The sequence below is a fragment of the Homo sapiens genome, chromosome 2, assembly GCF_000001405.40.
Source record: "Homo sapiens chromosome 2, GRCh38.p14 Primary Assembly".
Lineage (NCBI taxonomy): Eukaryota > Metazoa > Chordata > Mammalia > Primates > Hominidae > Homo > Homo sapiens.
In genome coordinates, this window is record NC_000002.12 from 89,133,082 (window position 1) to 89,147,050 (window position 13,969).

A 13,969-nucleotide genomic window follows, 5' to 3' on the forward strand; every position below is an offset into this window, starting at 1 on the left:
GATAAATGGGACCTAATTAAAGTAAAGAGCTTCTGCACAAGTTAAAGAAACTATAAACAGCGTCAACAGACAGCCTACAGATTGAGGGAAAATATTTGTAAACTATGCATCCGACAAAGACCCAATAACCAGAATCTGTAATGAACGTAAATTAACAAGCAACAAACAAAAACAACCCCATTAAAAAGTGGCCAAATGACATGAACAGACTCTTCTTAAAACAAAACATGCACATAGTCAACAAGCATATGAAAAATTCTCAACACCACTAATCATTAGAAAAACGCAAATTAAAACCACAATTAAGTATCATCTCACACCAGTCAGAATGGCTATTATTAAAAACTCAAAAAATAACAAATGTTGATGAGGTTGCAGAGAAAAGAGAATGCTTATACACTGCTGGCGGGAGTGTAAATTAGTTCAGCCACGGTGCAAAGCAGTTTGGAGATTCCTCAAAGAACTTTAAACAGAACTACCTTTTGATTCAGCAATCCTATTACAGAGCGTATACCCAAAGGAATATAAATTGTTCTACCATAAAGACACATGCACACATATGTTCACTGCAGCAAAGACATGGAATTAACTAAATGCCCATCAGTGGTAGACAGAATAAAGAAAATGTGGTACATATACATCACAGAATACCACCCACAACTGCAACAAATACAAGACAAAGTTCAGATTATGGACCGTAGTTGGCCTCTACTATATTCTCTTCTTTGTTCTCATTCCTGGAGTCTGCCCACAGTTTTAAAATTCTCACCCTTTGGTAAAGAAAAAAAAAACCTCACATTATTCTGTGTTATTCTAGTGGCATATAACATAAATTCTATAATCTGCTTGTTCCAGTTTAAGTTTTTGTTTTTAAAATCCAACTTTTGGAATTTCAAATATTATCCTTTTTTATTAGCAAGAAGTAATTGAAATGAATGAAAGAGTTTTAACATCAGGATCTTCTGTCTTCCATGACGTCACAAAAGTCTATTTGGAGGTGCAAATTCAAGCTTTTTCATGATTGTCCTCAGCCAGCTCTCCCTGAGGACAGCTTGTGTAGAATGCTCTTTTCACTATTTGTTATGTGGTGCAATGGGAAGAGAACTAGTAAAAAGGAGAAGAAGGAAATTGGAAAAGTTGAAAAATACCAGTTTCTAAATACTACCAAATACTACCCTCTTAAAAATATACACAAAAGACCTAAACTTCAAGAGATATTCAACACGTGTTGACACGAATCTGTGTTACTTGTCTGGCTATTAAGCTATTTGAAGTCTCATTGTCGAATGTAGGCAAGGCAGGGAAGATTAGTGTGAGATTTCCCTCCGCTCTCCCTCAGTCCTGTCTGCTTACTCTGAAGGCACTTGAATTATCTCTGTTTTCCTTTGGCTTATGCCATGCCAAGGCTGTGGGAGCTGACAGGACCATGAATGGGTTTTACCTGATGTACTGCTGAGTCCCCCATGGGACAGGTCATTCAGCTGCAACCTTTTACCCTGAGCTCACCAACATCTTCATTTTTTTTTTTTTTTTTTTTTTTTTTGAGATGGAGTCTCCTTCTGTCATCCAGGCTGGAGTGCAGTGGTGTGATCTTGGCTCACTGCAGGCTCCATCTCCCGGGTTCAAGCTATTCTCCTGCCTCAGCCTCCTGAGTAACTAGGATTACAGGCGTGCACCACCACATCCAGCTAATTTTTGTATTTTTAGTAGAGATGGGGTTTCACCATGTTGGTCGGGCTGGTCTCAAACTTTTGACCTCATGATCTGCCCGCCTCGGCCCAACATCTTCATCTTATACAGCAGAGATTCTGTTGTGCCACTCCCCAGATAAACAACATATTTGAGCAGCTGGGCCACTCCAAGCAGGGAGGTTTGTATTCAGGGTTGTACCACTGTGGGAGGCACTTGTGTACCTTGCAGGCAGTAATAAACCCCAACGTCCTCAGCCTCTACCCTGCTGATTTTCAATATGAAATCTGTCCCTGAACCACTGCTGCTGAACCTGCCCGAGACCCCAGACTTCCTGTTAGAAACTTCATAAATCAGGCACCTTAGAGGTTGGTCTGGCTTCTGCAGAAACCAATTCAAGTAAGTGTTTCCATTTCTATGAAAGGGGCTCTGACCAGACCTGCAGGAAATGGAGGATGGCTCTCCAAGGAAGAGTGGAGTCTGAAGTCTCAGGATGTGAACTTGGAGGGATTTTTTTTCCCACAAGAATCCAGCAAATGAGAGGATAACCTTACAGCATCCATAAGGTAGAAGCCTATCAAACGTAAGGACAACCTGAGACTAAGGGTAGCCAGGGAGAGAAGATCTGAGCTGGAAAGGGTGAAACAAATGGACCAAAAGAAGCTGACCGCAAGACAGAAAGTTCAGAATCAGGGAAGCTGAATATGAATCTGACTAGAAGATGCTCTTGAGAGATTTAAACTTTTCCCATGTTTTATGTTTCCCATATTGCAAATAGTTTCCATTGTTAAGAGAGTATGTTTGTACAGAAATTCAGCTTATGACGAACTTTGAAATTCCACCAAAGAGATCGAGGGAACGATGGGTTGTTGCTTTTCAGGACTACAAATCAGCCTGTCTTTGAGATCTCACACTGTCTATTTTGCAGTGGAATCTGCGATGAGGCTGTGAATTGGGCAGTGAAGTCAGGGCAGGGCTGACTGTGCTCTGGGTGCCACGGATAACAGGGACATTCCTTCAGGGCTGGTGATGCTGGGAGGCTGAGGGGAGAGACTCAGTATGAAGCCATCTGTGAGCCTCCTTGGCAATGCTATCTGGACCCTGGTCATCTAATGAGCCACTCCAAGCAGGGAGTTTTGCCTTCAAAGTTGTATACATGGATGCCCGTGGATGGCCAAACATAGGCTCAGGTTGAGCAGGGACCAAGATTTAGGAAGGAGCAATATGAGGCTGACCTGATGCTCTGAGGTTTCAGCACAATCTTAAGGGATCATACAGGGAGAGAAAGGGGTCACAAGGTGTAATTTTTTCATTTGATGCTGAATATACCTCTTCAGACCATTTTTCTACCCTGTATGTAACTACTGGTATACATTTAACCAAAGCCACTGCTACTAATGATCATTTCAGTCATTGATAGTGAGAGGTGAGGCCAGCTAGACTTCCTGGGTGGAGTGGGGACTTCTTACAAGAGGATTGTAAAATGCACCAATCAGCACTCTGTAAAACGCACCAGTCAGTGCTCTGTAAAATGCACCAATCAGCAGGATTCTAAAAGTAGCCAATCGTGGGGAGGATTGAAAAAAGGGCACTCTGATAGGACAGAAGCGGAACATGGGTGGGGACAATAAGGGAATAAAAGCTGGCCACCCCAGCCAGCAGTGGCAACCCGCAAGGGTCCCTTTCCATGCTATGGAAGTTTTGTCCTTTAGCTCTTCACAGTAATCCTTGCTGCCGCTCCGTGCCATCTTTAAGAGCTGTAACACTCTCCACAAAGGTCCGTGGCTTCATTCTTGAAGTCAGCCAGACTCACCAGCAGGAACCAACTCCGGACACAATAGCCTGTGTGCACAGATCCCGAGAAGCTGGAAATCTGGACCACCATTCAATGTATGAGGAGACATACACATAAAGTTCACGTTTTCGCCATCCACAGGAGGTGACTGTGGATGTGAGTTTGAGTCTGACTACAAGACGGTCTTGTGAGATTTAAACTACAATTTTTCCTATTGAAAAGAAGAAACACCTTTTTTTACCCTTTTTGCAACAAATATGTATTGAGCCCCAACAGTCATGCATTGTGCTAAATGAAAAATTTAAAGATGGCACAAAAGAACAAAAAAGGAAGAGAAAGAGAGGGGGGGCTTCAAAATCTTGTATAATTCGTTGCAAATACTATGAACACTTCCAGGTATGTTTATTCATAAGGACAGTGGATGCAACTGGCAGAGGCTGCAGTTTTGCAGTGGAGGGAAACTCTGTATACAGAGGCAAACTTCTTCTGCCATGGCCACAGCAATCCCTTGTTCTAAGCTTAGGAAGAAAAATCTAAAAAAATGAAAGTCACAGAAATAGCAAGTAGAATGCTGGTTACCAGAGACTGCATTGTTAAAGGGTACAAAATATCAGTCTGATAGGGGGACTAAGTTTTGGTGATCTGTTGCATAGCATGGCGACATTATTATATAGATGTATTTCTGGCAGGCTTGATTGCCTATTACATGGTAAGTCAACATACACTAAGACACTGGGGGCTGCTGCAGAGAAAGAGATTTAATCCCAAGGCAATTAAATGAGAAGACAGGAGGAAGCCTCATATCTACCTCCCCAAGCACTTTGGGGTTAAAGACTTTAAGTGGTTTTGGATGGAGAGGCAGATTGGTTGAAGAGTGAAGGATGAAGTCATGGGACTGGGAGGTGAAGAAACTGCTTTCTTATGTTGACTCGGTTCTTTGGGAGGGGGGTGGTCTTTAGACAAGTTGGTGTCAGCTATTCTACTGGAATTCAGGATCTGGTAAATATCTCAAAGATTAGGTTTTATGCTCATAATGGTGAAGGTGTTATATTTGGGAACAATGGGGACGTTAATGGTCTGTATTTATTGCAACTTGACTTTTATTAGTGAGAAGCTAAGGGAAGTGGCTCAGAATGTTGTCTGATTAATGCTTAACTATATTTCAGTCTGGAACCTGGAATACTGTTCTTGTTAACCTTATGACAGTGGTTTTGTAGTTAATAATACTATATTCTGTATTTCAAAATAACAAAGTATATTCAATGTTCTCAGTACAAAAAATGATAAATATTGGAGGTGAGGACTATGTTAATTAACCTGATTTGATTATTCGACAATGTATACATGTATGCATCTCATTGTACCCCATATGTATATACATTACTATTTGTCAATTAAAATCAAAATAAAACTTTTAAAAATTCATGTAGCCATTGCCTGGAATAAATAAAGAAAAATATGTGTGCACATGCTTAACTATACCCCTGTAAAAATTGAAGCTACTAAGTCCAGTAAAATACTGAATCACACATATTTCTGTCTTTAGCTTTAGTGGAAATAGTCAAAATACTGGGTCCCAACAATACTTATATTAGTCTTTTCTTCCCATATCCACCACCTTGTTATTTTTTAATTCATTTGTAATACATTTAGTTTCATTTACTCTTGTTTGTAACCCATTTGGATCCTCTCATCTTTCTTGATTTCAATTATTTTCAAATATTTGTAGTATAAATAGAGTCTCCAAAGACATAAATTCACAAAAACAAAAAGGTAAGCTCAGAGACGTGTCGCCTTCCACCCCTTCTGTACCACTCTCATCTCATCCCTTCACCCCGTTACCAGCCCCTTCCTCTTATCACTCCCTGCCAGCCTCACTCTGTCTATCCTCTCAAATTTGTTGTTTTCGTTTACGGTTCTGTTTGTTTTTAAATCTCCTCTGCTTTCTTACTTGGAAGGTAACACGGTATAGATATTTGTTTGCACTTTGCTTTTTTTCATTCAACTGTATATCTGAGAAATAACTTCCTGTCAATTCATAGATAACTTCTTCCTTTTGACAGTTGATACATACTCCATTGCATGAATGTTCCATAGCTATTTCAACAAAATATTTATTTATGAATATTCTGGGTGGTGTCAACATTTTACAAATCATTACAATTAATGTTCCAATGAATAACCTTGTGTATATGTAATTTTGTAGTGTTGAAGATGTATCTTCAGAGATTCCTAGGAATGGGATTATGGGTCAAAGTTACACATTAAGATAGTTTTGTAGATGTTGTCATATTCTCCTTCTTAAAAAGGTAGTATTAGTTTCCATCCTCACAGCTGTTAATGAGAAATCCTGTTTCCCTATAACCTTGCCTAAAAATACGGTTAATATTTTTTGGATTTTCTTAAACCAGATAATACTACCTCAAAGTAGTTTCAATTTGCATTTCCCTCATTACTGAGATTACACACTTTACTTGTGTTTAAATGCTATATGTATATATCTTTTATAATGCATTGTCTGTTCTCTTTTCTTCTTTTTTCTATTGGATTTTTGACCCATTATCTTAACTTTTAATAGAGTTGTTTCATATTAGAACAGTAACAGTTTATTTGTTTAATATATTAAGAATAGTTTCTCCTTGTTTTTAGTTGTCTTTTGATTTTATTTTTGTGTATGCAATTTCATTTATTTATTTACAATCTTTTATCTAAAAATTCAATCATATTTGGCACAACATATTTTGTTTACAGTGTTGATTTATTTTATCCTAATTTGTTTTTTAGTTCTGTATTATTTTATTATAATTGAGTACCCCAGAGAACTACAACCTGCATCCTTGGCTTATTGTGTTTTACATAATTTAGCATTTGACGAGCTTCCAGACCTGGATCTTAAGCCTCATGATCCCCCCCGCCTCGGCTTCCCAAAGTGCTGGGATTACAGGCGTGAGCCACCGCGCCCGGCCGAAGGGACATATTTTTTAATATCCTTCTGTTTTCTCTAAGAGGTTTCTAATTATTTTTCCCTTTCCCAGGCATATTTTACATTGGTCTTTAATAGGCTGAGTTTTCATAAATATTTTCTATTCTATATGGTATTTTTACGTATTATTTTAAGTGATAAAACACCCAGAGGGCACAAAGGGCACACATCTTCAAATTGTAACTGAATAGTTTTTGTGTATTCATTGGCCAGATGGAACTACAGAATATTTACCTTCTGCTGATGCTTCCTCCATGCACCTTCCTCTTCAGTAACTGCTTCCCCATCTCAACCAAGGTAATTGTCATTCTGACATCGAACACAGTAATTTGGGTTTTTATGTCTTTAATGTCATATAAATTGAATTGTGTGCTTTTTTCTAGCTTTATTCTTATTGTTTACTACTTTTGAGTCCTTCATTATAGGCTGTGGGCTCAAAATCCTGCCTGCTGTAATCTTCTGTGATTCTGAAAGATTTCATCTTGAATTTCTTATAAGGCAGAGCTGCTATTAATGAATTTATTCTGTTTATCAAGGAATATTTTTAGTTCTGAAGAATATTTTCACCAGAAACAAAATTGCTGGTTGTCCTCTTTCATTTCCTTTTAGTATTTAAAGATCTCATTCCAATCTCTTCCAGCCTCCCTCGGTCCTAATGAAAACTTAGCCAATGGCATTATTATTGTGTCTCCATATGTAGAGTCAGCTTTTAGTCCTGACACATTCACGAATTTCTCTTTGTCTTTCAACATTTTAAAGTATAATGTATTTTGTTATTAATCTTGTATTATATCCTGAAAGCGTTTCATTGAGTTTCTTTCATCTATAGATTAAATTACCTTTGTGGTTCATTATTTTTGAAAAGCTGTTGTCATTACTTTTCCAAGTATTTTTTGATCACTTTCTCTCTCTCTCTGCTTTTTTTGTGACTCGTTTTACACACTTGTTGGTATCTTTCAACCTGAGCTGTAATTCTGTCAAGTCTTGCGCATTTTTTCTTAAACTCCTTTCTTTATTTAGATTCAATAATTTCTGTACATCTATTTTTAAGTTCACTGAATCTTTTGCCATCTTAAACTGATGTTGGACTTATGTAATATATTTTTCAGTTGAGTTATTGTACTTTTTGTTTCTAGAATTCTCACTTGATTCTTTTCCATAGTTTCTATTTTTTAAGAGTTTCCATTTGCTGAGTCATTGTCTTTATATTTTCCTCTTTATATCTTTAAAACTATATGATCGTAGTTTTAAGAATAATTATTTAAACATCTATATAATAATTGCTTTGTAGTCTTTGCTAAAGCTGATATTCAGGACAAGTCAGAATCAGCTTTCATTGACTGTGCTTTCTTGCTGCAGTTGTTTTGTTTTGTTCCCTCAATATTGATCATACTTTTCTGTTTCTTTGCAGGATTTTTTAATGGAAAACTGTATATTTTAGATAATATATTCCTGTACCTCTATCAGGAATATATTCTATTTTTCTTAAAATTTGTGAGTTTCTTTATAGTTACTTCCCTGAACTTACAGTAAGTCCCTAATTCATGGTGGTTGCACTTAAGATGTTTTGACTTTACAATAGTGTGAAAATTATTTGTATTCAGTAGAAACAGTGCTTCCAGTACTGGTACAACTACTCTGTTTTTCACTTTCATATAATATTCAATAAACCACATTACAATAAGTTATAATAAATTATTGGTGGTGATAAATGAAAGTGACCAGTGAAATTCCTTTTGGAAGGAAGCCTTTGACAAAGCTAAGACAGCTGTTCCTATCACTCTTCCTACTTGGTCATTCACTAACTTTCTTAGTTTTGTTATTTATTAAAACAGAGTACCTCTCTGCAAATGAACAGCTGTTACTGAGTCAATTAGTTGGATAAATATAATTTTCTACCTTTTAAAATATTTGTAGAAGTCAAATGGATAGCTGCACCATGCACTGAGCTGCGTTTACTGGGGAGACTGAGAATTATTGATGTCATGTTAAGAATCACACTGTGAGAAACTAATTCTGGAAATCTGAGATTCTGGTGGCACAGTTGAAGAGGGTTTGGCTACATCTGCGTAGTGATTATTTCCAAAAATAAGCACGTTTGCAAATTTTTAAACTTCTGATCTCACCATCACCATACTGCCACCCACACTATATTCCAGGTATTCAGGCACTGGAAGTTCTCATTTTGGTGTTTCTTCAGGTTCACTGTGGCTATTCTACATCCTTGACATTCCCATATAATATTTAGATTAGCTTCTTAATTTAAATTGGAGTATACTTTAGGATTTTGATTTTTCTTATATGTAATCAATATTTTAATCTTTGAAGAATTGACATTTTTATAGTACTGAGACATTCAGTCTTTGAACTGAATTTCTATTTACTTAGGTTTTCTTTTATTTTTCAAAATAATATTCTGGAGACGTCAGTGTATTTAGTCTATTTTTTTTAAATAATTGATACTTTGATGTTTTTGTAAATGGTGTGTTTGTTTTATAATGTTAATTTTTAGCATTTTTTATTATGCAGAAATGAAATTGATTTTTGAATCTATGAATTAATAAATTGATCTTGAATCTAATGATTTTCTATTTCTCATGTCAATTTTAGTAGTTTCTCTGTAGACAAATTTGAATTTTATCTGCACACAATCCTTCATCAGTGAATTATGACAGCTTTAATTCTTCTTTTCCAATTTTGATTATTTGTTGCTATTGTTGTTGCCTTATGGCTCTGGTTGGGACCTTTACTGACATCCACTGATGTAAATCTGATCCAGTGGCCATTACTGTGAAACTGTGCTTAAACCTGGCTGTCCATCTTGGTCTGAGGAAAAATGCAGGAATCAGAGTCAAAAATATATCAAGGGATTACTTTTTTAAGATCCCCAAAATGCCCAAGCAGAGAAGAGATGCTAAAATTGAGTTGTCATTGCAGCAGCTATCTGTAAAGGAAGCAGCTGGTATAATCTAGTAAACAATGAAGGTCTTGCAGAGGTTTTTGTTTCAAGCTGAATCACTGTGGGAGGTGAGCTACCATACTGCTGACAGTAATACACTGCAAAATCTTCAGGCTCCAGTCTGCTGATGGTGAGAGTGAAGTCTGTCCCAGACCCACTGCCACTGAACCTGTCTGGGATGCCAGTGGCCCTGCTGGATGCACCATAGATGAGGAGCCTGGGAGCCTGGCCAGGTTTCTGCTGGTACCAGGCTAAGTAGCTGCTGCTAACACTCTGACTGGCCCTGCAGGAGAGGGTGGCTCTTTCCCCTGGAGACAAAGACAGGGTGCCTGGAGACTGCGTCAACACAATTTCTCCGGTGGTATCTGAGATTGGAAATAAAACAGAAAAGTCACCCATGTAATCTAAATCAAACCCATTGTCTTCCCAGAAGAGCCAGAATTATTGCTTTATATTGAGCTTTAATTATTGTATTGACTGAGCAGAGTTGCCAGGTAACAGGACTTGAGAGGGTTTTCACTGACATGCAAAACCATCCCATGTTCCCCTCACCTGGGAGCCAGAGTAGCAGGAGGAAGAGAAGCTGCGCTGGGGTTTCCATGGTTCCCTCTGGGTCCTAACTGAGCAGCTCTTCTCCAGAGCTCTGACCCAGGCATTGATATGGGCTCTGGACTGCAGGGCGGCTGGGAGGGACATGCAAAGCAGCTGGGGCGGGTGCTGGGCTTGCAGCTGCAGAGACAATCTGCCTCCCCTTTCTGCTCTCAGCAGCCCATGCCCAGGTGATCAGGCCAGAAAAGGCCGTTGGCTCAGTCTGAGGGTAGAACTTCTCCCCTGCGGCCACAGAATTTAACCCCTGTGTCCTCTTGTCTCACCATCACCTAGATTGAGCCACAGAATGTTTGGTACAAGTCTGTTAGAAACAAAATAGAAGGCTGTGGTTTCATTTTTCTCTTTCTGCTCCAACTTGTGCCCAGTCAGCTCCCTAAATGCATGATGGATCAGGTTGAAAGGAAGAGTCTATTACAACTTTATCTTCCGGATATACTTGTATTTACTTGTTAGTGATCTTTCCTGAGGGTCCAGAAGCTGTCTCATTCTTTGCAGAAATTAAAAGAGTAACATTCAATTAACCTCAGCACTGTGGGTGTGAGGACTTTCACAACTGCACAGATAAGTGAGACCTGGGCTCCAAATCCTCAGGGTAGTGATACCATTTCCCTAAAGACAGAAGATGGTTTTGTCCATGCAGGCAAAGAACTATTTCTTGGGTGATCCTCTAAACTATCCAGTCTTTTTATTCTGTATAGCTGGTATAGTTTACCCTTAGTAGGATGAAACAACCACTTCAGTCTGTGACAGGGTGAGGTCTGGGATGCAGATACAGTGTTTTGTCAAATTATCTGTGTTGGCTTGGAAGAGCCTTACAAAGACATGAAGCTTCTGGGTCTCTGCTGCCTGATCCTTGAAGAAAAAGCAGATTGACAGATCAGTGCCCCACCTCCCATCCACCCCAGGATCTCAGGCATCCCCTACTCATCCACAGGTGTTGGGCTGAGTTAGTGGAGGGACTCAGTCTGTCTCTCCCTGTTCTGAGACTACTACCTCTTTGGGCACCCATTGCCATTGTTGCTTGATCCAGTCCTTTCACCCTCGGTTGTCCAGTTCTAGAAGGCAGGTCAAGTACTGTAGAAAATTGACATGTCTGATAACGTCATCCACCCTAATGGAGGAATCAGATGACCCTCCTACCAGCAGAAGGAAATTAACACCCTGATATTTCTTGATCCTGTGGAACCCATAGAAGGCACCCAGGGGAATCATTCCATCCAATTAGAGTTAGGAGGCCTGTCTGGGTTATCATGGTGGCCTAAACTGCAACACCCCCAAGAACATCACTATAAAAGGAAAAAAATGATTGGAAACACTGAGTTTGGGATTTCACAGTGGCAGCTCTATCAGGAAACTGGCCTTGCCCAACTTCTTCCTCACTCAACTCAGTGTTTTTCAACCTGCACCTCCGTGCCGTCTTTCCCTTGCTCTGCAGTGCAGTGTTTAATGTCCAATTGCTGTAGTCAGATGGGGTACCACTCTACTAGCAGGTTGCCCTGATGTACACTCTTCAGTTGCCGTGTGAGTCAGCTGTTCTAGCATTAAATAGATCCATTGGCCTTTGGATAACAAGGTGTATGGAAAATCCATCATGTCCCATGAGAGTGTGTCCATTGACGTCATTTGGGCAGTAAAGAACTTTCCTTGGTCAAAGCAAAGTCTCAGTGGGCATCCAAAAACATGGCATAAGTTCATCTCAAGGGTGGTCATGGTAGACCCAGCATCCAGCTGAGTGACATATTTGTCTCTTATAGGTGGCAAGCTGTTGCCATAGTCCTTTTCTCCACAGAGGGGATGCTTTAATAGTCCAGTCACTCGGTTGCTATTTTCCTGATCAGATAGCTAGACTGTTGGCAGTGGCCCATGAGTTGGTAAAAATATAGCAAGAGGTGGCAGAAAGGCCTGCATGACCATTACCACTGCATGTAGTTTGGACCATTGGGTGGAATGACCATTATCAGTCTCAGGAAAGAAAATAGTCATCCACTGGCTAGATGGTAGCCACCCCCAGTCTACATGTTTTGCAGAGCCCTAAGTGAACCATGCCATACCGATGTCGGCATGTCTCTGAATCTTGGACTTCGGGTAGCCAAAAGCAGAGCCAAACCATCCCCCATGGGTCATTTAGTCCCTTCTAGCAAGCTCGCCATTTGTTTATGGAGCCTTTGGATCCCACGGGTTGCTGGCTGGGCCTGATTCTGAATACACCATTTCCATTTGATAATGCAGCTCTATTGAGCCTGTCCAGTTTCACTGGTTGGATTTTAGGCACCCAAGTGAAAAGGAGCAGTTCACCCAGCAGCGCCACACTTGGTGCTCAGCCCCAAGATGTCCAGTCCCTGTCAGTTTCCCATAGCAAGCAAGGAGTTGCTATGCCAAAGAGGGACATCTGGTGGCTGCTTCAGCTGGTTTGTGTTCAGTATCTGAGAGGCTGGCTCACTCAGTGACAATTTTCTGTTGCCACATACTACAGTCAGCATACATAGAGACTGTGGACACCTGAACTTCCATCAGGCTAACAGGCTCTAAAGGTCTAAAAGAAGTGTTTGGACCATGTCCTGTTGAACTTCTTCCAAGGCTGCTGTTGCAAAGGGCTCTGTTCAAGGTTGGTGGTTTTGTTTGTGATTTTGATTTTGACTAAGGGGACTGAAAGCCCACCCCAGAGAGGTTTATGCTGTTACCAATACTCAAAGAAGCCTACCAGCTGTTGTCCTTTATTAATGGTTGCTGCTAGTACCAACAATGTTTAACTATATCTGCTATCCTTCCTTGGTTTCCTGTCCAAGTGGCCTTAGCATTCAACGTGAAATAGTCCATCGTTAGTCTCTGTTCCCCTAAAGTCTTTTTGCCCCGCCAAACTGAGTTGCTCCATGGTGACAGGGGACTATGTAACATTTTAATCTATTTGTAGCAAGTCTTGAAAAAAACAGGTAATGTCTTATTCTTCACTTAGTACACAGTACTGTTTTTGTCAAATAACCCACGGAGTCATGCGTAGCTTAGGTCGTAGGCTTCAGTGGATATTCCCTTTTGTTAAGGCTTGAATTCTTAGCTGCGAGGGAATATACCTTTTATGCAGCAGTGATGTTCTGTGGTGCAAATATCAATGCCTGTACTGCACTCTGAGGTGGGAACTACAGTCACCAGCCCCAACATGGCCCACAGGGCACCATCCACAAGCAGAGAAGCACCATGGCCACTGCATTTGTCCCTGAACCTCTCAATGTCATTGGTTAAATTTTCCCCAATGGAGACCTATGGGCTCTGGCACCCAAAAACCCAGAAAAGTATTTCCTTATTTTCTCCTTTTATTTTTACATGGTCTAGGGCCACTGGTTTCTGGTGAGCACCCAAAGGCATTGGCTGTATCCCTAACAGTGACATTTAGATCAAGAAATTTGGAACTGCAAATATTGCTTTATCAAACAAATATACCAAACAGTCTGCATAAGACTTCCCTGAACTTTTTCTGTATCTCTTATTTAGAGAGTGAGTCTCCCTTTGTGTGAAAGCCCAAATAGCATATGTTGGTTCCCTCTCAGGGATCTTAGGGTCCATTTGAGTACCCGTTTCCCTAGCTCTCTGGCTCCAGGAATGAGCAATTATGCAAGTGTCTATGAACCAGAGGATTTTGTGCCTCATTCTCATTTCTACACTCCTTTCTCTCTGCCTTAATTCAGGCAGCCAGCTCATCTAAACTCATGCAGAGAGTGATCTATAACCCACTGATCCTCCCTCATTCCCCATAAAGCACCCAGATGCATGTCCAGGCCTTGCACCTTCCAGTCTAATGGTCCTCCCCTGGCCAAGTAATGGGAGGTATCATTCTTCCCACTTCACCAATAAGCCATGGTTCTGTCATACTAGAATCTTCTCAATGGGGCAATTTTGTTAAGCAGGTTAACTGTGCAGTGATTACCAACTTATTTGAGTC

General features: G+C 40.1%; 1 pseudogene, 1 gene segment (V, D, J or C) and 1 further gene, besides 2 other annotated features; 1 reads left to right on the forward strand and 2 right to left on the reverse strand.

Annotated features, from left to right (window-relative positions):
* Nucleotides 1–13,969, forward strand: part of IGK (immunoglobulin kappa locus) — a 1,378,008-nt gene that overhangs the window by 275,721 nt on the left and 1,088,318 nt on the right.
* Nucleotides 1,900–2,166, reverse strand: IGKV2-19 (immunoglobulin kappa variable 2-19 (pseudogene); annotated as a pseudogene). The gene is given in 1 exon segment: nucleotides 1,900–2,166. A coding segment is annotated over 1 exon segment (267 nt).
* IGKV3-20 (immunoglobulin kappa variable 3-20) lies at nucleotides 9,493–10,027 on the reverse strand. The segment is given in 2 exon segments: nucleotides 9,493–9,791; nucleotides 9,979–10,027. Coding segments are annotated over 2 exon segments (348 nt in total), but the record flags the coding sequence as incomplete, so codon positions are not given.
* Nucleotides 9,781–9,791: a sequence feature (IGKV3-20 leader sequence).
* Nucleotides 9,979–10,027: a sequence feature (IGKV3-20 leader sequence).